Source organism: Homo sapiens, chromosome 12 (genome assembly GCF_000001405.40).
Source record: "Homo sapiens chromosome 12, GRCh38.p14 Primary Assembly".
Lineage (NCBI taxonomy): Eukaryota > Metazoa > Chordata > Mammalia > Primates > Hominidae > Homo > Homo sapiens.
The window spans coordinates 125,322,034-125,347,820 of NC_000012.12; the positions used below are offsets into that span (position 1 = coordinate 125,322,034).

The 25,787-nt window shown below is 45.1% G+C and overlaps 1 protein-coding gene across 9 annotated transcripts in view, besides 3 other annotated features; it reads left to right on the top strand.

Moving 5' to 3' along the window:
* The window catches only part of TMEM132B (transmembrane protein 132B), a 475,992-nt gene that overhangs the window by 135,648 nt on the left and 314,557 nt on the right, over positions 1-25,787 (top strand). The window contains exons 1-2 of one of the 9 annotated variants that reach the window (XM_017018767.2): positions 4,544-4,642; positions 5,374-5,474. The exons of 6 other annotated variants lie outside the window; for them this stretch is intronic. Coding sequence is in view for 1 of the 3 variants with exons in the window: in NM_052907.3 (NP_443139.2) it covers positions 4,591-4,642 (52 nt within the window). In the remaining 2 variants the exon portion in view is untranslated. Of the gene's footprint in view, positions 1-4,543; positions 5,475-25,787 lie in introns of those variants that run through there. 2 more of the 9 variants (XM_047428242.1, NM_052907.3) reach the window with 2 other exon arrangements.
* Positions 7,089-7,815: an enhancer, noted in NCBI's record as "OCT4-NANOG-H3K27ac-H3K4me1 hESC enhancer chr12:125813668-125814394 (GRCh37/hg19 assembly coordinates)". NCBI's record gives its function as "activates a minimal SCP1, AML or CMV promoter by ChIP-STARR-seq in primed H9 embryonic stem cells {active_cell/tissue: H9 hESC(primed)}" and the evidence as "EXISTENCE:reporter gene assay evidence [ECO:0000049][PMID:30033119]".
* Positions 7,816-8,541: an enhancer, noted in NCBI's record as "H3K27ac-H3K4me1 hESC enhancer chr12:125814395-125815120 (GRCh37/hg19 assembly coordinates)". NCBI's record gives its function as "activates a minimal SCP1, AML or CMV promoter by ChIP-STARR-seq in naive H9 embryonic stem cells {active_cell/tissue: H9 hESC(naive)}" and the evidence as "EXISTENCE:reporter gene assay evidence [ECO:0000049][PMID:30033119]".
* Positions 9,072-9,131: a silencer, noted in NCBI's record as "silent region_5083". NCBI's record gives its function as "represses an Ori minimal core promoter by ATAC-STARR-seq in GM12878 lymphoblastoid cells {active_cell/tissue: GM12878}" and the evidence as "EXISTENCE:reporter gene assay evidence [ECO:0000049][PMID:35858748]".

Below are 25,787 nucleotides of genomic sequence, written 5' to 3' on the forward strand. Positions count from 1 at the left end.
AGAAGTCGGGCACAAAGGTCTTCATACTGTGTGTTGATATGGTTTGTCTGTGTCCCCACCCAAATCTCATCTTGAATTATAGCTCTCATAATCCCCACGTGTCGTGGGAGGGACCCGGTGAGAGGTAATTGAATCATGGGGCTGGGTTTTTCCTGTGCTGTTCTCGTGACAGTGAATAAATCTCACAAGATCTGATGGTTTTATAAAGGGCAGTTCCCCTGCACACACTCTCTTGCCTGCCGCCATGTAAGATGTGCCTTTGTTCCTCCTTCACCTTCCGCCATGATTGTGAGGCCTCCCCAGCCATGTGGAACTGTGAGTCCATTAAACCTCTTTTTCTTTATTAATTACCCAGTCTCAGATATGTCTTTATTAGTAGCATGAGAATAGACTAATACATATGTCTACACATGTATGTGAATATCTAGAACATTCAAGCCTGCAGAGACAAATGCGGATTAATAGTTGCCAGAGCTGTGAGTGGGAAGAGGGATTACCTGTCAGTGAACACAGGGAGCTTTTGGGGTGTAGGAAGTATTCTAAAACTAAATTGTGGCAATGGTTGCACAACTTTGTAGCTAAACTCATCAAACCATACACTTTAATTGGGTACGTTTTATTGGATGCCAAGTATACCTGAACAAAACTGTTAAAATATTCAAAGACATAATACATTCATATGGTTCAAATTTCAAAAAGTATAAAAGTGATTATAATTAAAAAAATTCCATCTTACCCCTCAGCAATCCAGTTTTCTTTTGCACAGGCAGTCAACATGATTAGCATTTCCCCCCAATGTGTTCAGAGATATTTCATGCATAGAAAATCATAGAAATGTACTTTTCTATGCATATATATATATATGCTGTATATGTTTCCCTATGTATAGTTTGCTTTGCCTTCATAGACAGTAGCAAACCATGAGTACTGTTCGGTACCTTGTTTTTTTCCACTTAACACACAATTTGTCTGGAGAACCTTCTCTGACATAAAGAGCTGCAATTTTTCAAGCACTGTCCTTCCACATTCCATCGTGTGCCTGGCCTATAGCTTATGTTGTCACTCCTTGATTGATGGACACTGGCTTGGTTCTAGTCTTTTGCCACTACGAAAATGACTGGCCAGTGTGCACTGCTTCACACCTGTAATCCCAGCACTTTGGGAGGCCAAGGCGGGCAAATCACCTGAGTTCAGGAGTTCGAGACCAGCCTGGCCAAAATGGTGAAACCCTGTCTCTACTGAAAATACAAATATTAGCCGGGCGTGGTGGCAGGCGCCTGCAGTCTCAGCTATTTGGGAGGCTGAGGCAGAAGAATTGCTTGAACCCGGGAGGCGGAGGTTACACTGAACTGAGATTGCATCATTGCCCTCCAACCTGGGCAACAAAGCGAGACTCTGCCTCAAAAAACAAAAACAAAAACAAACAAAAAACAAAGACTGGCCAAATTCTCTACCCTCTTTCTGCCTCTCAGCTTCTTTGTTTGTTTGTTTGTTTGTTTTTTGAGACAGGGTCTCTCTTGGTCACCCAAGGCTGGAGTGCAGTGGCACAATCTCAGCTCACTGCAACCTCTGCCTCTGGGGTTCAAGCGATTCTCCTGCCTCAGCCTCCTGAGTAGCTGGGATTACAGGTGCACACCATGATGCCTGGCTAATTTCTGTATTTTCAGTAGAGACAGGGTTTTGCCACGTTGGTCAGGCTGGTCTCCAACTCCTGACCTCAGGTGGTCCGCCTGCCTTGGCCTTCCAAAGTGCTAGGATTACAGGCGTGAGCCACCGTACTGGGCTCCTTGTTTCTTAATGAAGAAAATGGTAGTGCCTACCTACCTCATAGAGTTATAAGGACGAAAGGAGCTCGTGTATATAAAGGCATCCACAGGGCCTGGCACCCAGAAAAATCATGTGAGCATTATAGAAAGAAGCCAATAAGCCAGAGAGCTCCGACCAAAAAGTTGGAAACAAACCCCCCAACCGTGAAATTTCCTTAGAAACACACACATACACACACACAACGGGGGCAGGGAAAGAATGCAAGAGGTGAACACCTTCTTAACATAAAAATGACCCAACTTCAGATCAGAAAAATGGAGGCCTCATGTTTGCAGAATTCTCTGCAAAATGTCAAATCTCTGTTCAATAACTTTCAAATGCCACAATCCGTGCGTTTGAATAATAATTCTTTGAAGGTCTAGTAAATAAATATATTGACAAACAGATTAATTGCTAATCACTTCTCCAATGTTGTCATTACTTCCAAAGAGTTAGATCCAAAACAAGGTGGTCTGCACCAGAAAGGTGCAAGTAGAATTACTGCCTCCACGAAGAACCTTGCAGGTGTGTCACGTCACGCGTGTGCAGGTAGATTCATAGGATAAGTTCTGAGAAGAAGAATTAATCAAAAGGTATGTGCAGACTAATTTTGGATAGATTTTGCCAAATTATCAATTTTACTCCCTAGAGCAGGGTTCCCCAACCCCTAGGCCACGGACTGGTACTGGTCTGTGGCCTGTTAGGAACCGGACCACACAGCAGCAGGCTAGCGAGCATTACTGCCTGAGCTCTGCCTCCTGTCGGATCAGCGGCAGCATTAGAGCCTCATAGGAGCCCAAACCCTATTGTGAACTGTGCATGCGAGGGACCTAGGTTGCGTTCCCCTTATGACGTGAAACAGTTTCATCCTGAAACCATCCCTGCCCTCCACCATCCATGGAAAACTTGCCTTTCATGAAACTGGTCTCTGGTGCCAAAAAGGTTGGGGACCACTGCCCTAGAGTGACAACTGAGATCGTGTTCCCTTAGCTATCTTAGCTAGACTCCAAAAGTCTGGTCTTTGGATCTTATCAGCTTGAAAGGTGAGCTGTGGACGTGGCAATCTCTTATTTTGGGGGAAAACAGTCCAACTTCAACGGGGCTCAAACAAAACTCCTTTGGGCCAGTTCCTGCTCTGGGCCCCTTGGTGTAGACAGTGGTTACCTGCCTGCAACGCAAAACAGAGAGCTCTTCTGGCATTGTTTCCACTGAGATAGCTGATAACAAGGGGTAGATGTAGCCTGAGGCACCAGTTCCATTGTGTTTACAATTTTTGCAAATTGAATAAGTCATGCCAGCGATTTCTCAGGACACATCTGCCAGTTGCTTACATTTTTCACAGGCCCAGAACATATGGGTAAGGTAAAGACGCAAACACACAAAACCCAGAAAAAAGCACAGCATCCCAGCTGACAGGAAACCTTTTGAATTCTCATCAAAACAGGAGCGTTTGATGCCCCTAGAATGCATGGCCATGGGAGCAGCAGCCTCAAACCAGGCAGGAGCGGAGGACCTTCAAAGCAGCGCCCAGGGGAAATGGGAAGGCTTTCTGGTGCAAGCTGCCTTGTTTTGGATCTAACTGTTTGGAAGTAATGACAATATCGGAGAAGTGATTAGCAATTAATCTGTTTGTCAATATATTTATTTACTAAGCCTTCAAAGAATTATTTGAACGCACGGATTGTGGCATTTGAAAGTTATTGATCAGAGATTTGACATTTTTGCGGAGAACTCTGGAAACATGGGGCCTCCATTTTTCTGATCTGAAGTTGGCTCATTTTTATGTTAAGAAGGTGTTCACCTCTTGCATTCTTTCCCTGCCTCCCACCCTGTGTGTGTGTGTGTGTGTGTGTGTGTGTGTGTGTGTGTGTGTGTGTGTGTCTGTTTCTAAGAACTTTGTTTTGTTGTCGTTGTTGTTGTTTCCAACTTTTCAGGTGGAGCTCTCTGGCTTACTAGCTTCTAGTGAGAGTTCTTCTTTCTCTGCAGGTCATAGGATCACATGGGATGCTGTGGATTCTCTCTTGTGTCTCATGGAATGAGCTGTGGCTATACAATCATATCAGATGTAGTAGCTTGACCCAAGAGCTTGGACTGTGTGAGGACCGAGTTTCTTTGACTTCCTGGTTTGCTTTTCATGGTGTTGACCCCACTCCAGGGCCCTGCAGCTCTGAGCTCCCCATGTAGTGCAGTGACATTTGGGGGTTTTGGGCCTCCAGCCTCCTACCACGCTGTTCACAGGGAGAGGGGGACACCCCAGGGAGCCTCTGCACAAACCCAGAGTCTCTCTCTCTCCCTTAATGGCCGGCACTAGGTCACATGCCCAGTTATGACCAAATCAAGGTTCTCCACAAAGGGAGAGAAGACTGTAGACACTGGAGAGGCGACCAACAAATGCCTAATAAGAAAAGAACTCTGAGGAGCTCAGCACTTGTCCTGTCCCCGTGCCTTTGAGCTTCAGAAGAGTCATTGTGTGATCTATTGATTGCTTTTGGGGAGGAGAATTACTCTGTTCCGAAGTGACTGGTCTCAGGCTGGACAAGCCCCGTCAGTATTCCAGACTTGGTTGAAAAAGTCACTTGCCCTCCTTGTTGACCTGTTTCCAATGAAGACAATATGAGCTCAAAATGGAGCACATGAGCTCTGACATTCCGTTGTCCTGGCAACCTGTATAGTAAACATCGGCTTAATGCTGTTTGATGGGGGGAGGTGGGAATTAGGAACTGGGGGGTGTTGAATAAAGCTGAAGATTTGGTGCCCTCGCCTCAGCTCCAGACTCTACGGGAAATGTTTGGTGCAGCATCCAGAATGGACACCACTGCTGTCTGCACCGGGGGAGGTCGGAAGGAAGGGAATGGCCTGGTGCAACCAGGACAGGGATGGGACCAGACCCAAGGGGAGGTTTTCCTATGTCCTATTCAGATTCTCCCTTTGCAGCAAACTTCTTGAAAGAGTTGCCTGTTCTCCGTGCACCCCTTCCTCTTGTCCTGCTCACTCATTGTGCTTCTTGCCACCTTGTTACTATTGAAACTGTCCACCGAGGCTGCCAAAGCTATTGCCACATGCAGGGGCCACTTCTCCAGGCTTGGCTTTTTTGCAGCTCAGAGGCACAGGGTCTCCCTGCCTTCTCTAACAACACAGGCACCTGCTTTCCCTTCTCTCTCTCTCCCTGGATGCCCCCTGAGCCTTCTCTGCAGGCTTGCCCCCTGCTAGACCTTTCCACCAAAACCTCTCTCCACCAAAGCCTCTCTCCACCAAGGCTCTCTTTCCCTCCTCTTTTTCCCACTCTGCATGTTTCTCTTTGGGCCACTTTTCCCAATGGCTTCTGTCACCACCTCTCTTCTGCTGACACCCAAATCTCCTTCTAGCTCACAGGTCTCTCCTGAGCTCCAGCATCAGCATCTAACTCATTTCTACATGGGGGCCCACAAATATCAAAAACTAAATACGTCCCAAGCAGAGCTCAGCACCTTCTCCCAAATACCCACCTCCCTTGTCCCAGTGACGGGTCCACCCTTGTGCCCAAGACTAAGCTCAAAATGCCTCTTTGTCTTTTCTTCCCTCTCTCAGCACCCTCTCCCCTCCCATCATAGCTAATTGATGTCCAAGTCCTACCAGAATCTCTTCATTTCCTCTCCATCCTGGTGGCCCTTTCTGCAGTAGAGGCTGCGGTGAGTTTGAGGATTTCAGGCCTGATCAGGAAGAGTGAGCTTTTTTACTTGGGCAGTATGTTGACAGGTTGCATGCGGGGGACGTCTCCCATAGCAGGAGACCTTCCAGAGACTGTGGCCATCACCTGGGCCACCAGCCAACCAGGAAGGAAGAAGGAACTCCTGGGGAAAAGGAGAGCTAGAGAGGGGGCTTAAGTGTCCAGGTCACACAGCAGGACCATTGGGTGCCTCTGGGCCAGGGGGCTCCAAGGGACAGCAGCTGCCTGGGGTCTTCTATAGTCCAAGGTTTTAAAAAAAAAATCTGTGGCTGGCAGATGCTGGGTGCAGTTTCTCAGGATATATAAAGCAGGCGGGCTCTACATAGCTAAGAGTCTGCTTCTTTGGGCTACATTTAAAACAATGGGTTGTGTAAAATTTTGATTTTGGCACCGGGGGTCTTGGAGAATGGATGGCCCTAGCCAACTCTGAAGAAGTAAACCTGGGGCCAGTCTACAAGGACCGTCTTTGGCCCGTTTGTAAAACAAAGTCACCCTGCCCTTGGGGCTGGGCCATCGCATTCATTTCCCTGTCTTGGCCTTTCCTGCTTTTAGTCCATTCTCCGTAATAGCAGAGTGATGTCTTAACCGTGTTATATCAAGTGGTGCCATGAACCTGGGACCTCAGTCACTCAGGTGGCTTCCCATTACCCTGGGATAAAGTCCAAACACAATGCAGTGGCCTCCGCCAGCCCTGAAGGATGTGCCCTTTCCTCCCTTTCCAGCCCAGCACGGTGCCCTCACTCCTGCCCAGCCACCACACCCTTGCAGCTGCAGCAGGGTTCTGTGTTCTGCCCATGCTGTTTCCTCTGCTGGGAGCCTTCTTCCCCAAATGGGACCTGGCTATTCCACGTGTCCTTCGGCTACTGTGTTAGTCTCCTGGGGCATCCATCATACGTTTATTCTCTTTTGAAGGGCAGATGTCCAAAATCAAGGTGTTGGCAGAGCCACACTTGCTCTGAAGGCTCTAGGGGAGGGAGGATCCTTCCTGCCTCTTCAGCTTCTGGTGGCTCCAGGCATTCCTTGGCTTGTGGCCCCATCACTCCAGTCTCTCACTTCATTTTCACATGACCTTCCCTGTCTCTGTTCTCTCTTCTGCTTCTAAGGTCACCAGTCATTGGATTTAAAGTCTGCCTTTGTCCAATATGACCTGCTTACATCATCAAAGACCCTATTTCCAAGTAAGGTTCCAGGTGGATGTGTTTTGGGGGCACCATTCAATGAACTACAGGTCCTGTTTTCTCTGGCTCCCTCAAGACCGCACTGGGGCCTCTCCTCGGTACATGTGCCCTCATGACTCTCGCTTTTCTTTACTGGAATGGCTTGTTCATTCTTCAGCTCCAAACTAGACTAAACTCTGTGAGGACAGGGCTGCTTTGCTCTATCCTCCCTGCAACTTCAGTGCCGGGCACAGGACTGGCTCTTAATGGATACTGAATGAACCCTGTTATGGACTGAATGTTCGCATTCTCCCCCACCCCCAAATGTATTTGCTGAAGCCCTAATCTCCAATGTGATGGTATCAGGAGGTGGAGCCCTCGAGGGGTAATTAGATTTAGGTGAGGTTGCGAGGGTGGGGCCCTCATGAGTGCTTTTATAAGTAGAGAAAGAAGTACCAGCGCTTCCTCCCTCATGCGAGGATATGGCAAGAATGCATGTCCATAAGGAAGAAGGCATGCACCAGACATCAAATCTGCTGGCGCCTTGATCTTGGTCTTCCAGCCTCTAGACCTGTGAGAAATGAATATCTGTTGTTGAAGCCTCCCAGCCTATGATGGATTTGTTACAGCTGGCCAAGCTGACTTAGACAAATGAGTGTGCCTGATCCATCCCATTGAATGTGACAGAACCCCAGGAGGCAGATGGTATTCTTGTCTTGCTAAGTAGGGCTGAGTCACTCACCAGGCAGCCCAGCCAGGCAAGAGGCAGGCTGACTTTCTAGCCCAAGCCTCCTTCTCTAGAACCCAAGCTCCCTCCACCCTTGGGTCTGGGGTCCTATGAGGCACTGACTTGAGGAGGATGATAAGGTCTGAGTGGCTTTTGGCTGGAACGAGATGGGACAATGGGTTGGTTACTTTCCTGGGACGATTCCCTAACGGATGTCTCAGAGCTGTCGTGGCTTTGTCCCCAAACCACTCATTGTCACTGACACAGGCTGTATTCATCTCTCTTGAGACTGGCCTTTTAAAGTGTTCCCCCAGCCCCGGCCCCTTGACACTCAGGTGGCCAATGAAAGGAAACAACAGGAACAGCTTTCAGGCCAGGGACTAGAGAGATTTTCCCCATGGAGTGAATACCCCTGAACACAAAGGGAAGAAAAAGCCCTTTCATAAAACTACCCGATCTTCACTGGAAGGAATGCGACAGATACAGGCAAAAATCAGTTCTCCACTTTGTGATTTCTCAGGGTGACGGAAGTGGACAAAGGGAAGGGGAGAGAGGGTTTCAATGCAGTAGCCCTGCTGGCAGCCTGTGGCCATTGTTCCGTGGCCGACGCTGTGGTCCGACGATCTGTGTCACGCTGGACTGATGGAAAACCCAGGTGTTGCTCTGGGTCACGGGATGCGTGTGGTGTGGGTGCGTCCCCGCTTCCAAATAGAATTTCATATTCTTCCGGAGCACAGAGAACCCACGGGGTGCTGGCTGCCACTTGTGGTCTCCTCTGTCCAGGCTGATGGTTTGGGGACAGTGACTCCCTTTCTCCCCTAAGCCTATCCTGGTTTGGGTTTGTGTGACTTGCAAACAAAGAATCTGGTCCCATAGAGTAGTCGTGCTTTGTTTAAGGGGTTTCTTTTTTTTTTTTTTTTTTGCAGCCATGAAGATGATTTTATTTATCTATAGTTATGGTTGACATTTTTCATGCATAAAAACTTCTATTGCTCAAGAAAAAAGTTAAGTACTTCCTATGGAAACAATAGACAAATGACAACAAGAAATTTACAAAGAAAGAAAAAAAATGGCCAGTAAACATTTAAAAAACTTAATCACTAATTGTCAAATTTAAATTTTTTAATCTATAAACTATCATTTTTTACTGTGAAATGGCAAAGATTTTTTAAAAAGTATATCCAATGCTGCCAAGAGGGCAGAGGCCTTTCTGTAAAACAGCAATATGTATCAAAAGCTTTAAAATGTGCAAATGTTTCTACCTAGTGTATTGCTTTGAAAAAAAATTCACAGGCAAATTAAAATTTCTTGGCTGGGCACAGTGGCTCATGCCTGCAATTCCAACACTTTGCCTAACCAAGCTGCACTTGGGGAGGCAGAGGTGGAAGGACTGCCTGAGGCCAGGAGTTTGGGACCAGCCTGGGCAACACAGTGGGACCTCATCTCCACAAAAAATAAAAATAAAAATTAGCACATCCTGTGTTCCTAGCTACTCAGGAGGCTGAGGCAGGAGGTGTTTAAGGGGTTTCTGTTGGAAAGCAGCAGTGGGCCTTGGTGAAAGTCCCCAGATTGCCCTAAACCGCCCAAATCGGGGTTTCGTCTCTGGAAGAGGGGAGGGATGCACCACCGGCTCCTCGTGCAGCGCTGGCGGCGGCGGCCACTGGGTGGCGGTGTTGCCCGCGAGGCCCGGGGTCTGCGGAGGAGGGAGCCGGACTGGGAGCGGGGCGGGGACAGCGCCGGGGAGGGCCTGGTCCGGGTGGGCTCAGTCCGGGCTCCCGGGTCGGTCCCCTCCTCCGCGTTGCTGCCCCAGGAGTCCGCTTCGTCCTCCGCTGACTCTGAGCGACACAGGACAAGCTCTGAATTGCATTCCAGGAAAAGGGGACTGAGGCTTTGTATTTTTCCTCCGCACCAAGATTCCCAAGGCTGCTGTTAAGGGTTTTTACCCAGGGTGGGGTCCACGGCGAAGCCCTGGGGTCTGTGTGAAGGGGAGGTGCTGTTTCTTTCCCGAGTTCTCCGTGGCTTTTAGTCCACGGGTTTCGAGGTCGCGCTATGGTTAAAAGCAGCACATGAGCCCTTTACTCCGGGTGAAATCTGGAACCAGCTCACATGTGGCTCACCAGGAAGAAGCTGAGTCTCTTCCCCAAGCTGAGGAAGAGGAGCAGGAGCTGTACAGATGCCAGGACCCGGCAGAGCAGGGGTTAAGCCCACACTCTGGGGCCCACTCTTGGCTGCACCCCTTACTGGCTGTGTGACCTTAGGCAAGTTTTTTGACCTCTCTGTGCCTTCGTTTTTGAATCTATAAAATGGCTATATTATTACAAGTTATTTATTTGATACATTTGGAGATGCGGTGTTGCTCTGTCGCCCAGGCTGGAGTGTAGTGGTGTAATCTCAGCTCACTGCAGCCTTGACCTCCCGGGCTCTAACGATCCTCCCACCTTAGCCTCCCAAGTAGCTGGGACTACAGACACTTGCTGTCTTGCCTGGTTATTTTTTATTTACATTTTTTTTGTAGAGCTGAGGTCTCACTTGTTGCCCAGGCTTCTCTTTAACTCCTGACCTCAAGCCATCCCAAAGTGCTGGGATTACAGACGTGAGCCACTGAGCCCTGCCCAAATTTATTTAGGTAATAATTATATAATAGTATTAATATACCATATGAAAATAATACTCTAGCTCATAGGATTGTGTAAAGAATAAATGTCTAAAGAGCTAATACATGTTAATACATTTAAAACTTGTTAATCCATGTATCAGAACATGTTACTTAGTATGTTTATACATGTTAATGTAGTTAGAACAGTGACTGGTACTCAGTAGATATCTGACAAATTCCTAGCAATGACTATTATTATTATTATTTTATGTATTGGATGCTACTGATAAGCTTGTGATAACTGCCAGCCAATTATTCATCTCTTCTTCCTCTGAGATCTGGCAACTCTTGTAGCAGGCAAGTGAACAATACATATTTTACTTTCTTTTATTCTTCATCAATTTTTTTTTCCCACAGACTTCTGTCATCTTCTCTCAATTAAGCGCAGCTCCCCAGAAGCAGGCTGTGCCCTCCACCCACTGCATTTCTTCATAGCTCTGCACTTTCTGCGTCACGGGGACCCTTATGTCATCTGAGAAATTAATTCAGAGAGTTGGCTTTTTTTTTTTTTTTTTTTTTTTTTTTTTTTTTTTAAGACAGTAGAGTGCTTTGGTAGGTGAAAAGGGGTTTCCAAGCACTTGGAGATTCAACAGGATTGTAAAAGGGATGTTGAAGGCGTCTGAGGTCATGCTGTTTAAACACGCTAAAAACTCGTCTTACAGATTCACTAAAGTGGCTTCTCTTTGCAACAGCCACTAAGACTGGACAATATTAGTTTTTCCTTTCTTTAGTTACTTTGTGTGTTGGAAAATAATGAACTGCCTTAAAAAACAAAAAACCAAAAACAAGAAAGAGAACAAAAGATATTCTCTGAGCGATTTCGGATTGCCCAGACTAGCCAGGATGAATGATGTTTTGTTTTTTATAATGTGCGTTAGTTTCCTGTGGGTGTTGTAATAAGTTACCACTAACTCGGTGGCTTAAAACAACAGACACTGATTTCTCACACATTCTGGAGGCGAAATCAAGGTGTTGCCCTGTTGTTTCCTCTGAAGACTGCGGGAGGCGCTGTCCCAGGCCGGTTTTCCAGCTTTTGGTGTTGCCAGTGATCTTTGGCGTTCCTTGGCTTGTAGACACATCCCCCCAACTCTTCCCGTCTTCATGTGGCCTTCTCCTATGTCTTTGTGTGTCTCAAGTCTCCCTGTCCTTTCTCTTATAAGGACGTCTGTCATTGGTTTTAGGGTGGGTGTCATTGGACTTATGTCATCCAATGAGCTCATCTTGAAAACCTTAACTTAATTGCATTGGCAAAGGCTCTATTTCCAAGTAAGGTGACATTTACAGGTAACCATGGGTTAGAACCTGGAAATATCTTTTTGGGGGGACATTACTCAACCCACTACATACGGCAAATAGAATTAATTACATTCATGAAGAATAAATGTCTAAGTCTGAAGCTGTTTCAACCTGCAATTCTGTCTCCCTCTCCCAACTCTGCCCTCCTCAGTGTTGGGCTCATTTTTAGAAAGTGGACTGGAGGGCAGGCAGGGGATATATGTGAGTGTGAGAGCTGGAATGGGGCGACAGGGAATGGTGGGGACTGTGGTGAGCTTTAGGATGCAGGTGCTAGCTAAAGAGAGCAGCAGTGACCCTGCTGATCTAGCTGATTACTGCTGGGTAAGAATGCATGCACAGCCTAGTCAAAGCTTATTGTATCTTTAAAGAAAAGCCAGAAATCTGGATTTTTGTGTGATTAATTCAATTTTTAGAAAATCACTGAGTAGGTAAAATAAAAATATGTCTGTGACCCAGATACTGTCCCTGGAGCCTGCTTTTTTAACCTCTGGCCTAAGTGTTGGGAGAAAGTTGGGGATTGTGGCATGGTTATATTTCTGCTGGGTTAACTCACATGTCCTCAGGGCTGGCTACATAATTTGCAGTGCTCAGGGAAAAATGAAAATTCAGCCCCTTCTTCCAAAATCAGGGAAAAAATGCCATGAAAAGTATGAAAATATAAAGCCCTTTTCCTTCCTTCTGGGGCCCCTCTTTCAACTTCTCATGGTGTTTTTACTTGCTATTTAAGGCCATTCTGAAAAAGAAAAATTAAAATCTTAAATCATTAGTATGAATTTTACCATTTATCTTTTTATTATGTGATATCAGTTTTAAATGCAAATATAAGAGCAATTAACACATATGCAGAATCGTCCGTTACTCAATCCATATTTCATAGCTCGTGCAAGCATGGGTATATCATTGCTACCAGGACAGTGGAAACGCTGCCCAGAACTACCTCAGCACTTTCTCATCTCACCTCTTGATACTCCTTCTACCAGACCTCTCCCTTCGCCTCCTGGTGGGCGAGGAAGGGGAGAGGAGCTAGGGGTTTTCTGATCTTCGCTGTTCCTTCTGTGCCTTCCTTTTCAGCGGTTAAGTGGCTGGAAGGAATACAGGAAGTAACAGGAGTAATAAAGGACCTGACAGGGTTCCTTGGTTTGTTGTGTTTTGTAGAATGTCTTTGCCTTTTTTCTGCCTTTGAAGCAAGTTCTGGTTTGAATGGGCAGCCTGGTTCCTCGGAGCTGTCAGTGCCCCTGTTTAGTTGTCATGGATGCAGCACGCTTACCTATACTCGCTTTGAGTCTTGCTGAGCTCCATGCACAATGGATTCACTGGGACCATGATGCTTATGGGGCACTGTGAATGCTATATGCAAATAGTGCAGCAAGGAGCAAACAGCAGACAAGCATATTGCACACTTCTCCTCTGCTTCTGTGCCATGCACGACCGTCTCATTAGACTTCACTTACAAAGCAAAAGTTCAAAGACACAACTCTTAAGAATTTCAGAGGTGAAGAGCATGGCAGCATAGCGTTAAGCAGAGCACAGTTCCTTCTGAGCGTGCGGCCCTGGAATGCACAGTTTGCGTGACATAAAGCCGGCCCTCAGTCTACTTCTGTTTTGTCCCTGCCCGCTGAGATCACTTCTGAAGACTTGGGATGCTTGAGTAAACAGATTAGCCGTTCAGCGAATGTTGGTTTATTTTAGGCCCTGGGTTCAGAATCTTCAACTTGTGTTTTGAACACAGTATGTCAAATTGCAAAGGTAACACGTTTCTGCAGGGTAATTGCTCAAATGTCTGGTTTCTGACCCCAGGCATGGTCCTGACTTTTCTTTTTCAACACCTACAGTATTGAGAGTAGTGCTGGCAGGAAGAAATCAGTACTGACTTGGTGTAAATTGTTTTATTTGAAAAATAGAGATTTTTTGTTGTTTCCTACCTAGAATTCCCTTGTTCTTTTTGTTGAAATGACCCCATGATGATTCTTTGGGGAACCACCCCCACCTCTCCTATTCCAGCTAAAGCTGATTCTACCTCCAGGCTCCTGGGGAGGGGCACATGACCCTGGCTGAGCCAATAAGAACAGGCATCCCCCTGGCCACAGTGATTTGTTCAGGGATGGGCAAATGCCCTATCATAGACAGTGAGATGCACTGAGGGTTTCTCCTGTAATTTTGACAAATAGACTTCCACTAGTTCTCATTGGATTTTAGAAGGAGAATGTGAAACTTGAAAATGCTGATCTCACCGTGACATGGAGAATAAAGTCAGCTTTGTAGAAGACAGAGCAGGGTGATGGGGGAAAATGCATCTTAAAAAATTACTTTAAAATTTATTTTTGGCCAGGCATGGTGGCTCATGCCTGTAATCCCAGCACTTTGGGCAGCTGAGGTGAGAGGATCACTTGAGATCAGGAGTTCAGGACCAGCCTGGCTAACATGGCAAAACCCTGTCTCTACTAAAAATACAAACATTAGCCAGGTGTGGTGGCAGATGCCTGTAATCCCAGCTACTTGGGAGGCTGAGGAAGGAGAATCGCTTGAATCTGGGAGGGGGAGGTGGCAGTGAGCCAAGATTGCGCCACTGCACTCCAGCCTGGGCGACAGAGCAAGACTCCCCCTCAAAGGAAAAAAATTATTTTCAGTACATTTCACCCTTTTTGGTATGGAGCGCTGTTAAGTTTTTGGCAAATGCATGGAGTTGTGTAAGCATCGGCACGGTCAGGACACAGAAGAGCTCCATCACCCCTCTTCCAATTCCCTTGTTTAAAATTTTTGTAGTCAAACTCTTTCCAGCCCCTTCTGTCCGGCAGTCACCGATGTGTTCTTCATCCCTCTGGTTCAATTTTTCTAGAGTGTTATGTAAGTGCACTTGGACAGCATGTGGCTTTCTGAGGTTGCCTTCTTTCACTCAGCATGATGTATTTGGGACTTATCCATGATGCTGCCTGTCCATCATTTGCTCCTCTTTACTGCCGAGTAGTGTTCCACCCAACACAGGTACCGAGGCTTCTTTAACCATTCCCTCAAATGACATTTGTGAAGATGCACAGTGATGACACTGCTTCACTGCTGGATCCAGCCAGACCTGAAGCCAGCCTATGCCAGCTATGACTGACCTTAAATTCCAATTTTGTTTAGACTTACATGGTTTGCATTCTTTCATTTCATTCTGGGAAATGAAAGAATCATTTTCGATTTCAGTAATGAACAGATGAAGGAGAAACAAGTCTGAATCAGTGAGAAGTCCGCAGAGGCACCACCTGTGACATTCCTATACATGCAGTTGCACGATAACAAGTCACGCCACTGGGTTACCTCATGGTGTGTCCCTGATGCACCTGGCAGCAGGTGACACCCCATTTGACACAGAGGGAAATCGAATGGGAGGATGAAGTGACTTGCCTTGGTACATAAATCCAACTGATGGCAGACCCGGGGCTCCAGCCCAGGTGTCTGTCTGCCTTTTGTAAGCCTCAGCTGCTTCCCAATCACACAGTGGCAGAGCTGTCAAGATTACTCAGTGAATTTTCCTCTCTTATTTAAACAGTCTCCAAGGTGTCCAATTTAGAATAAATATAAATGGAAATTATAACAAGGTCATCAAAATTTCCTACTGTTTAACAGCTGGTGGTACCTATAGGAGGTCAAAATTACTGTCACTAAGCAATCTATATAATCCATTTAATAATGCTCCCCCTGCATCTGGCATGGCATGGAAATCTCTCATGTTGGCTGAACAGCTCTTCACTTTTGTTTCTCTGAGTGTCTTTATCTCCTCCTTGCTCACAAAAACACAGTTTACATAAGGAAGTGCTATGCCATTTGTTTCCACTTTTTAGTAGGGATGGGACCACTGCTGTCCAAATCGTAAGCCTATACCATGTTGGTTTATTTGGTTGTCACTAGCTGCTGTGACAAATAAACTCCTAGGCGTGGCTTAACACAATAAAAGATTGCTTCCTGCTCACATCTAGTGTGGGTGTTCACATTTGGCAGGCAGCTTTCCTCGCGTGGAGGTTCCAGGGCCGGGGCTCCTTCCAGGTGATGGCTTTGTCATGCCCTAGGGCTTCAGTGTTTCCTGCTTCTCACTGGTGGAAGGTAAAAGTTACCTGTTTTGGCTTTAATGTGATATGTGACACTCCTGCTTCTCTTTCAAGAAGAAGTCTTGTGGCCATACGTGGATACAGGAGAGGCTGGGAAAGTCCCTGCCTGAGCAGCCATATGCAATACGGTCGACGAGGAAGTTTTTGATTTTCCTCTCCTTGACAGGTGGCCATCTCACCCACAGGCCCAATAATGTCTTGTTATCTAGATTAAGGGTGTTCTCCCCTCATCCATATACTCAAATTTCCGGTATTCTGTTCTATGCTATTTTCCCCTGTTTGGCTAGGTTTGGGCTCCTGCACACAAAGGCTTCTCATCCTCAAAGTCATACATGCAGATGGCGAAATTAAAATGGTACAGAATAACTTTGAAAGAATGGCCATAGTCTTCCATTCCTCTATATCCTTGATCTCCTTCCCCAAAGTCCGCCACTTCTAGCCATTTCTGGTTTTAGTTCTTCTGGTGATGACTTCTATAATTATTCATCTACCTTGACTTCTTGAGTTAATAAATGTAGACAGCAGCGCTCTCTCTATAAAAGATGAGGATTTAGCTAATGTACACACCTTCTTCCCTTTTTCACATTTTAATTGTTTTTACTTATTTGCATTAAAAATATCAACTTTATTCCATTTATTCATTTATTCTTTCAACACACATTTATTTCCTACTTACTTTGGGCCAGGCACTCTGCCATGTACTTCTCTTTTCTTATTATTTAGGATTGTGTTTGGCTGCAAGTAACAGAAGCCCTGGCCACAGTGGCTTAGGCGAGTAGGATTTGATCTTATTTTTTCTTTGATCCCATGCTGTGACCAGCTCTCTTGTCTTCTCACATTGTGTCCTCAGCGTGTACCTTTGTTCCTCCTGGTTGCACAGTGGCTGCTCTGTCACCATCCCTCTCAGGACGCAGCACCAACACCCACACTTGGATGCCTGACATTTCTCTGGAGGGTTAACTCAGTGTCGAGGAGTTGCCTTTTGAAGAGCTACTGGGGAGAAGTATGAAGCATTCTGGTTTTTCCTGAGGATGGGGGCACTGGAAGGAGGTCTGCCTGGAGTGGGTGTCTCATCTTCAGAATCTGTTACTCTCCTTTTTTGCGGCTCTAATTTCACACCTGTCCTTACTGTACATGCCAGCAGGTAGCCAGGAGCCCCTCTGGGCTCCAGTGGGCAGAGTAGCCCCTTGATCCTTGGCAGCACATGTAGAATGTTCTGGTCTGAGGTTTCCTCTGCTGTCCTGCCCATCAGCACACTTTTATCCGCTTATTCTCTTTCTTAAATTTGTTGAAGTATTTTATTTGCAGATATCCTCCCTCCATTTCTCTTGATAATAGGTTTTTTCCTTTTTGTACTTTCATGCTTTTATTTCATTTGGGTTTCTGTGGAGATGGAGGGAATAAGTGTGCTCAGTCTGCTACTTAAAAGTAAATTCCGTATCCTTCTTTTTGAAGGAAGAATGTCAATATTTCTCTTAGATTGAATAAGCAGCACATGTTCATTCTAGAAAACTTGAAAATACGTAGAAAAATATGGCAGGAAGTTGAAAGGCATCCACACTCTCAATGTGTAGATCCTCACCTCCAGCTAACAGTCCATTTGAGTTTTGACATGGGCAACTTGACCATATGATTCTAAAGTTAACTTGGAAGGTGGAAAGCAGGGAAGTCTAGCTAATAGGATTTTGATAAAGAACAATAATGCCTCTGTATGAATTTGCTAGGGCTGCCATAACAAAGTACCACATATTGGGCCACTTAAACAGCAGAAATTTATTTTCTCACAATTCTGGAGGCTGGAAGTCCAAGACCAAGGTGCCAGCAGGTTTGTTTTCTTCTGAGGCCTCTCTTGGCTTGTAGATGGCCGCCTGCCTTCTATGCCACCACATGGTCTTCCCTGTGTGTGTCCGTTCTAATTTCCTCATCTTATGAGGACGCCAGTCCAATTGAACTGGGGGCTCTTGACCACATGTTGGCAAATAGAGCAAGGACAGCATGAAAAGGGCTGCAAGCAAGAGGAGTAACTAAATTCTGACGATGGAACACCCACTCCAGGCAGACCTCCTTCCAATGCCCCCATCCTCAGTAAAAGGCAGAATGCTTGGTACTTCTCCCCAGTAGCTCTTCAAAAAGGCAACTGCTCTCTAAGGACAATTAACCTTCCAGAGAAATGTCAGGCATCCAAGTGTGGGTGTTGGTGGTGTGTCCTGAGAGGGATGGAGATAGAGCAGCCACTGTGTAGCCAGGAGGAGCAAAGTTACACGCTGAGAACGCAGTGCAAGAAGACAGAGGAGCTAGCTACAGCGTGGGATAAAAATATTTGCACCCCCCAATGGCCTTATTTTAGCTATATTGCCTCTTGAAAGACCCTGTCCCAAAATACAGTCACATTCTGAGGTGCCAAGGGTTAGGACTTGAACGTATGAATTTGGGAGGAGGTACACTTCAGTCCATAACACTCCTACATAATAAACTGTATTGTAAATCCACATTAATTTCAGCTACAATGTATTCATATGAGTGTAGTCACACAGCAAAGAAGTTAAATAAGTAAATCACAAGTAGACTTGAGGATGTTTCAGGTCTTAACAACATAATCAGGAAGCATTAGAAATCATTGGCAGAGAGAGAAATTATACAAACACAGTTTGGAGAAAGTGGCTAGCTATTTGGGAAAGCAATTTCTAAGATCAAGGCTGAGGCACATACCAGAAATGAATGAAAAGAGTAGGTGTAAGTGGGTGTTAGTGAATTAGAGAATAGCGAAAAATGTGTGCGCACCCTGACACAAAGCATTCGAATTCAATTAAAATAAACTCAAACTGCGAAGTCAAATAAAATCTTTCTATTGTCTGAATTCAGTGCGTGCTAATTTTCAACTTTATCAGATTCTCACTTCACATTATACACCAGCAGAGATTTCAGATAGATTCAAGAATTAAGTGTAAAAATGAAGAGACACACCCATCTATACATACCCATGCACAGAAAGCAAGCAGAAGTGTAGGTAGTGTCTATTTGATCCTGGGATATGGAGGAGGACTTTCTCAGCATAACATGGTGGTGGAAATTATGACAAAAGGTTGGTATTCTCTGTTGTATTTCAAATTGTGTGCATTTGCCTTCAACTGTCTCTGTAAAATATTTCTAGCCTCAGAATGTAATCTCAAGTGCTCTGCCACCTGATTCTTTCTAAAAGCCTTGCCTGGTTTGGGAAGAAAGCACATTCAGGAGGAGAGTGTACAACGTTGGGTTTTCTAGAATCACATTCTGGATTTTCTTTTTCTGTTAAGCTAGACTATCCAAAAGCTGTCAGCAGTCTTGGCACACACCGCTGGGCCCTCTGGAAAACTGCTTTTGCTTCGTTGTCCATAGTTGTTATAGGCCCATCTTACATGGAGCCCACCAGAGGAGGCATCCTCGTAAGCTCACAATGTATTGTGGAAATGATGTCATGCCCTGCAGGGGCCAGTTGGGAGCACTCACCAGAGGAACTTCTCTTAGAGCCAGGAAAAGCTTTGCTTCTTGCTTTCATTTTATGGACAGTGTCCAAATAGTGACCTCATCTTGTGCTTTGAGAGCTGGGCAATTCAGAGCCACATATGCAGTTCCCTTTAGTCACTGATTACGCTCTTACAATGTAGATTTTGCTTGCTCGAGCTTTCCTCTGGCAGCAGAACATAATGGCTAATAGTGAGAACTCTGCCTGGAGCTAAACTGCCTGGGTCAAATTCCACCTCTGCCACTTACTAGCTGTGTGATCTTAGGCAAGTCACATAACTGCTCTGTGCCTCAGTTTTCTCATTTATGAGTGGGGGTAAAAACTAAATCCTCATAGTCAAAAGATTATCAGAATTAAAAGTTAATACATATAAAATGCTTAGAATGGTGTTTGATCTATTACAAGGATTAAGTAACTGATGACTTAATGATGATAACGATTTTAATACCTGCAAAATGCTTAGTATATATAAATGATGATGATAATGATAATTCTATTCTTGTTTTCCCTTTGCCCTTATTTTTAAATATTTCATCTTTTTTGTTGTTTTAATTTATAAAGTTGCCTCTAACGTTTTATGGACTTGCTGGCACATGATCCAAGACTTGCCCTCAAGGGTGGCTCTCCTTACCCTGACTATTCATTTTTATGAGTATACACAAAGCACCTACTGTTTACTCAGTAGTGTCCATGAACTTTTTTCTACTGCTGTTCATTTGAATCATCTAGCAAACACAGAAAAATACTGGGCCTCACTTGAGACCATCTGAAGGAACTCTGAGGGGGCAGGTCCTAAGCATAATATATACATTCACCATGCAGTCAGGGTTGAGAATCCTTGTCTTAGAGAATACAGAGGTAGTTGATGAGGTAGCGTGTTGTGTAAAAGGAGCTTACTTTTGTGGGGAGATAAATTAGGGGTCCACTTCCCCTGAATCCCATGATCCCATATTTTCAGCTATCTCTCTACCAGTCTTCCCTTTACCTTCACTCAAATGTGTCCAAACTAAATTCCTTCTGTTCCTCCCTCAGACCTGATGTTATGCCTATATTCTCTATTTTGTTGGTAGTTCTGCAAACTATAATACCTAGGTGTTTTTCATGATACTTAAAGCCATTCTGTGGACTCTGATAGAGACAAGCCACTCTGGATTCTGACTTTTTATCTAAGATTCCCACCTTTTAGGTTTTTACCTTATACACCGCTCTAGGATCTTCATGTATCCTTCTGGACCAAGAAGGAATTATGGATCATCCTGAAGTTCTGGGAATAAGAATTCTCCCATCAACTTCTTTAATGTGAGGCTGTACGGGGATGGTTAGCAGTGCAATTCATAGAGCCAGTTTTCCAGGATTCCTGTCCTGCCACCATCATTTACTAACTGTGTAATTTAACTCCCCTCACCCCGTGCCTCAGTTTCCTCCTCTGTTAAGTGGGATGTGTCAGTTATTACATTATAGGCTCTAAGTTTTAAACTTGCTCTTCTATTCTCTGGTGTGTGATGCTAGGGGTGGGTCTCTGCAAAACCACTCTTAGTCAGGTGTTCCTTCTTAGGTCCTGCCTATAAGGGAAGATAGAGGCAACTGCAAGGCTGGAGCTGGGAGCAGGAACTATCTGCTTCTTCCATTTTGTTCTGTGTCTGATTCCTTTCCACTTCCTCTCTCTCCCTGTCTGCTTCCCATTTGCTCCTGCTGACTTCCTATTTGCCCTTCATCTGCTTTCTGTCTGCCTCATATCTGCTTCCTGTTCCTGTGAGCCCCAGCTTGGCCAAGCAGGGCTGCCCAGCTTGAGGGGTGAGAAGAATCTTGGGACAAAAGGCAAGTGTCACTCCTGCCTGATGACCGGCTGCCACTGGTGGCCTTTTGCTTGCCTGTCTGTAGTGTCTCTTCTTCTTTCTCAGGCCATGATGTGTTTTATGTAGTTGAGAAAAGTGGAGACTCACCTGACTTCTTGCATCTTGCTTTTATACTGGTGGCCTTGGAATTCAGTAGTCAAGTATTTGCTACCTTTCTTTTTTGATTCTATAATGAATGAATCGTGTTTCAAATGCTGAGGTGTGGAAGGGTCTGTTCTCCAGGGTACAATAAAGGGATACAGCTGGAGGTAGGAGCAAACTGGGAATTTACAGCATCACCCCACCACAGCTGTTATTAATGAATGACCACCTTAATCCAAGAGCATTTGGCCCAAATTGTTGCATAGGATCTTCCTCCTGAGGCTCCAGGATATGTAAGGTGGTTTATAGGTAGTAATGTTTTTCCATCTTTATTAGTGTCTTAAAGGTAGGGATCACTGGCTGTTTTGCTAGCAGCTGGGTTGAGATGCTCTGGGTCAGCTGTACCTATTTTCCTGCTCTACCTGAGAATCCAGGCTGGTAACAGGTACCTGGGATGGGAGATACAGTCACCTGTGACCATGGAGCAATGAAAACCTCATTGGGTGTACAGGGATTGTGTCCATGAACCTGGCCTTGTGAGCATTAAGCTTCGGCTCCTTCAGATGACCTCCAAATGGTTAACTCCTTGGCCTCATTGTAGAACTGCCAGGCCAGGTAGGCCCTCAGGTAATATGAGAAAGTGGAAAGCCTTTGGAATTGGATAGAGCTGGTATGAATTCTAACGTTGACCATGTTCAAATTGCTTAATTTCTCTGTGCCTCAGTTTCATAATTTTTTGAAAACGGTCTAACAGAACTTATTTTACAACTGCTGTGATAATCAACTGGCATGACTGGTAAATATGCCTAGGTGTGTTGGCCTGTAAATGGTGTGCATCTCCCTTTAAGCGATATTTTCTCCTTCTACTTGAGAATTGCAGCTCTTTGGTTGGCAAACATAGCTGCCAGCTTAGTGACCACAGTGGTGTGATATTTTAGGACCAAATGAATGGAGTGATAGTGTGATGGGCAAATGCTGTGTTAATAAAAACAGTATCTATTAACAACCCTGGGAAGAAGCCAGAGAGAAACTCAGAAGGAACACAGAGAGATTTATTCTCTCAAGCGTTAAACCAAGGCAGTCTTAATTGATGGACATTCATTCAGCAAATATCTATTTAATTTCTCCTGCTAGGTACTGGAGATTGTGCCGTAAACTGGACATCAAAGCCCCTTCTCTCATGGTATCTGAATTTTAGTAGACAGAATGGATAGTAAACAAGGGAACAAGGAAAAACACAAAGGCTAATTTCAGATGGTGATAGTGGCTTTGAGGGAATATAGCAGGATGGAGTGATGAGTGACTGGATATAGTAGTCATGCTTTAGTCAGGAAAACAAATCACTCTAGTTATTTCTACAGAGGGAATTTAATAAAGGGAATTAGTTACTCTGGTGCTGGAAAATCTGAGAAACCAAATTGGGGATGATAAAGTACCATCTGGGGATGGTAAAGTGATTTAGAAATTAAGAACAGCAGGAGCTGGAAGCTGTTGTCACCTTTTGGGCTAGAGGGAAAAGGGGAAGAGGTTAGGTTATCAGAACCCAGAAGCTGCTGGGTTAAGCATTAGAACCTGCTACAGGAAACTGGGACCATGGTGGGGGTTTTATATGGGGTTAGAACCACAGAGGAGATGCAGTTTCTGCCAGTGAATGCTGCAGGGAAGAGACACAGGGTGAAATACCCTGGGTTCTCCCCTCTTCCTACCCGCCAGTCTTCTACCAGAGCTTCCAATTGGCTGAACACACGTGGAAGGAGAGAGCAAGGGAGCAGGGAACTACATTGGCATGAGTGGAATGGCTGAAGTTGCTGGTCAGCTCAGAGAAGGTGTCTCTGAGCTAAGAAATCCAGACCAGAAGGAGTCTTCTCTGCTCACATGTGGGTGATGAGCTTCCCCAGCAAGTGCAAGTAAGGGCAAGGAGAACTATGTGAAAACAGCACCAAAGTGGAGCTGTGGAAATAGATGGGAGAACTCTGGGTGGAAGACAGCATGGAAGATTTTCTAGTCCATTCCGCCGCCGCCAGAGATGACATTTACTGCACCAACCTGAACTAATATTAATGCTGACAAAGGCCTCCTTTTGGCTCCTGGCCTTCACGACCATGAAATCAGTAAGGGTTGTGATTATTCCCGCGGTACCCAGGTGGTAGTGAATTGTATCAGTTGTTAGGGCCACATTTTGACAGACCAGTAAGGAGTTTCTCTTCCTGGTGTTTTTCAAAGACCTGGTGACCTGGTCACCTGGCCACCTGGCCCACTGGAAAGAGAACTTTCCACACCTGGCTCTCGATGCCTGAGTTGTTTTGTGTGAATTAGAGGAGACTCAGCCTCAGAAATGTTGTGGGCCTGTACCCTAAGTGGGTCACCAGTAGCCACAAGACTGGCAAGTTAGCTCCCAGACATGACTGGAGCTAACAGTGAAAGGGACTGATTTCTGAGTGTGTCCCATGTTGTAGCAGGTTCACATTGTACCATCTTGGGGTTCAGGGATTCATGTCCCACCAGTGCTGACTAAGGTCCATGTCCAGGAATGTTTTTTGTGTGCTAAGCACAGCAGTGACATCCACTCACTCAGTTTGGGTCACAGGTTCCCTGCCTGGATTCCCGGCACCCTGTGAGTTGCTTCATTCTAGGAGTAATATTATTAATCTCCTCCCCTCTCTTCCTGCCGAGGCTGTCTTTAGGGCTTCCTTGGAGCCATCTGCCATTGGTATTTTGAGTCGGAGCATCCTTTAGCCACAGAGCATCTGTCTGGTGCACCTTGTGTTCTCTCTGAACCTGAACTTGACTCTCTTCTTGGCTCATAAGGAGGGCAGTGATGAGAAGTTCTTTTCAGCTGGGCCTCATTGCTCCTTCCTCATTTCCTGCTCTCAGGGCCCACCTCGTTCTGTCCAGTGGTAAATACCTCTCTAGGAAATCGGCAGACTGAATAGGGCCTCATTTCACGTTCAGAACGCGGGCCACACGGTCTACCTGCCAATGGGAAAAAGAATGGTGTTACTATGTGACATTTTGGGATTAAAGGGAAGAGTGTTAGCTTTTCAGTGTATTTCTCAGGACACAGTCCCGTGGCTTCATAAAATGCTCCTAAATTCAGATATTATATTTTGTTGCAATCTGGTTTGAGGACAGAATAAGGCTCTGGTAGCTGACGTTTATGGCTTTCCATATACACTTTCAGACAAAATTTGTATTGCATTTTGCTTGAGTTATGGTGGGACAGGAGTGTAAACCTTACACTGCTATTTCAGATAAAATGGAGGCTTTGGCTACAATGAAGAAGAGAAGGTGCAGCTTTACATTTCTTGTAAATCAATTTTTGAGAGGTATAAAATACCTTCTTAAAAGATAAAGAAAACAATAAACCAATCTACAGTGAAAACAGAGCATATTAAAGTTTGCATTTATTTTAATTTCCTTTTCCTTATTTGTAAATAAATCAGAATTTAAGCCTTATGTTGGACTTCCCCTAAATTTTACGAGAAGTAAAATTCAAGCCACTCACTTCCAAGTCTGGTGTGCCTGCTTAGCCCAGCTGAAAGATATTGTGATGCTGCATAAGGCAGATGTTTCCTGCTGACGGTGTTCCTGTTGCCAAGTAATTCATGAGCAAATTCACCTGAATTTCACTTCCTGGTTTGGAGAGGGGAAGTAAACCAATGACAAAAAGCACTAATTTAAATTTCATCTGGAGAGGTGCTTCTGCATTGCTCGACATTGTCAAAATACAGATTGCCCCTTGGTGGCGGCAGCAGCTAAAACTTTAGATGAGGCTAATTCTTCAAAATCATTTCTCCCTCCTCTATCTTTTGATCCAAATCCTGCCAAGCCTGTATGGACATCATTCTGGAGGAAACCCAGGTCTATACTATGGAAGGGACTATATCGTGTGTTTAAATAGATTTGAGATAATTTAAAGGAAGTTATGAGGTCGTTTTCAATTAACATATTGTGTTTTCTCTTGACACTACAGATTTGTTGAAGTCATGGTTTTGATGGCAGTTTAATGTCACACACATAGTGTGGCTTAAATCACTTATTTGATCATTTCCCTAATGACAGGTTTTTGGGCTGCTTCCAGTGTGTTGCTGTTATAAATCATGCTTGCGATAAACATACTTGCACATTAATCTCCTTCCTGATCTCTTGATTATTTCCTTAGAACAAATTCCTAGGTGAATTCCTGGGATGGGCATTTTTAAGTATCTTAATGCCCAATTTCTGAATTGCTTTCTGAATGTTAGCCGTGTCCTCCAGAGCTTCCGATTGGCTGAACATAGTCTCTAGTTCCTTGGGGGCAGAATTCATGACTGCATTGTCCCTGTAATATTTTTACATGCCACAATGCTGGAAAGATAATAAGTGAATAATAAGTATATTTAGGTAAGTAATTGGAGGAATGAATAAGTAATTACCCTGCTGGAGTAATGAATCTAACAAGGGACTGGCCATGTTGATGACATTTGAGGAGAATTTGCTTTCTGAATGCCTTCTTAGAAAAAGGATGCATCAGCCCGTACGTGGGCTGTATCTTTTTCACAATCTAGTTACGATTTTCTCACCCTCTAGAAAAGGAAAGCTCACCAAGCACAGCCCCAAACAGGCCAAAAAGTGTTTAAATCAATAGAAGCTATATTTTGCAGAATTTTTAATGGCTGCAGAAAAATACGCCACCAGGAGCCAGAGGGAATGGAGTGGGATTTCTCTGCTGTTTCCTCCTCTGGGATGCTGCATTTTAAGCGCCACGGTCAGGTGCCATTTCTTCTTGCACTGGTTGGAAAACAGGACTCCAGTGGTGGAGGTTCATTTTAGGGCAAAAGAAAAAAAAGTCTCTGTCTGCCCTTGGCCTGCTTTGCTGACCCTGGTTCCTGGTGGGCTGTCTTCACTTTGAAAAAGCTTGTTGGGTCTTTGC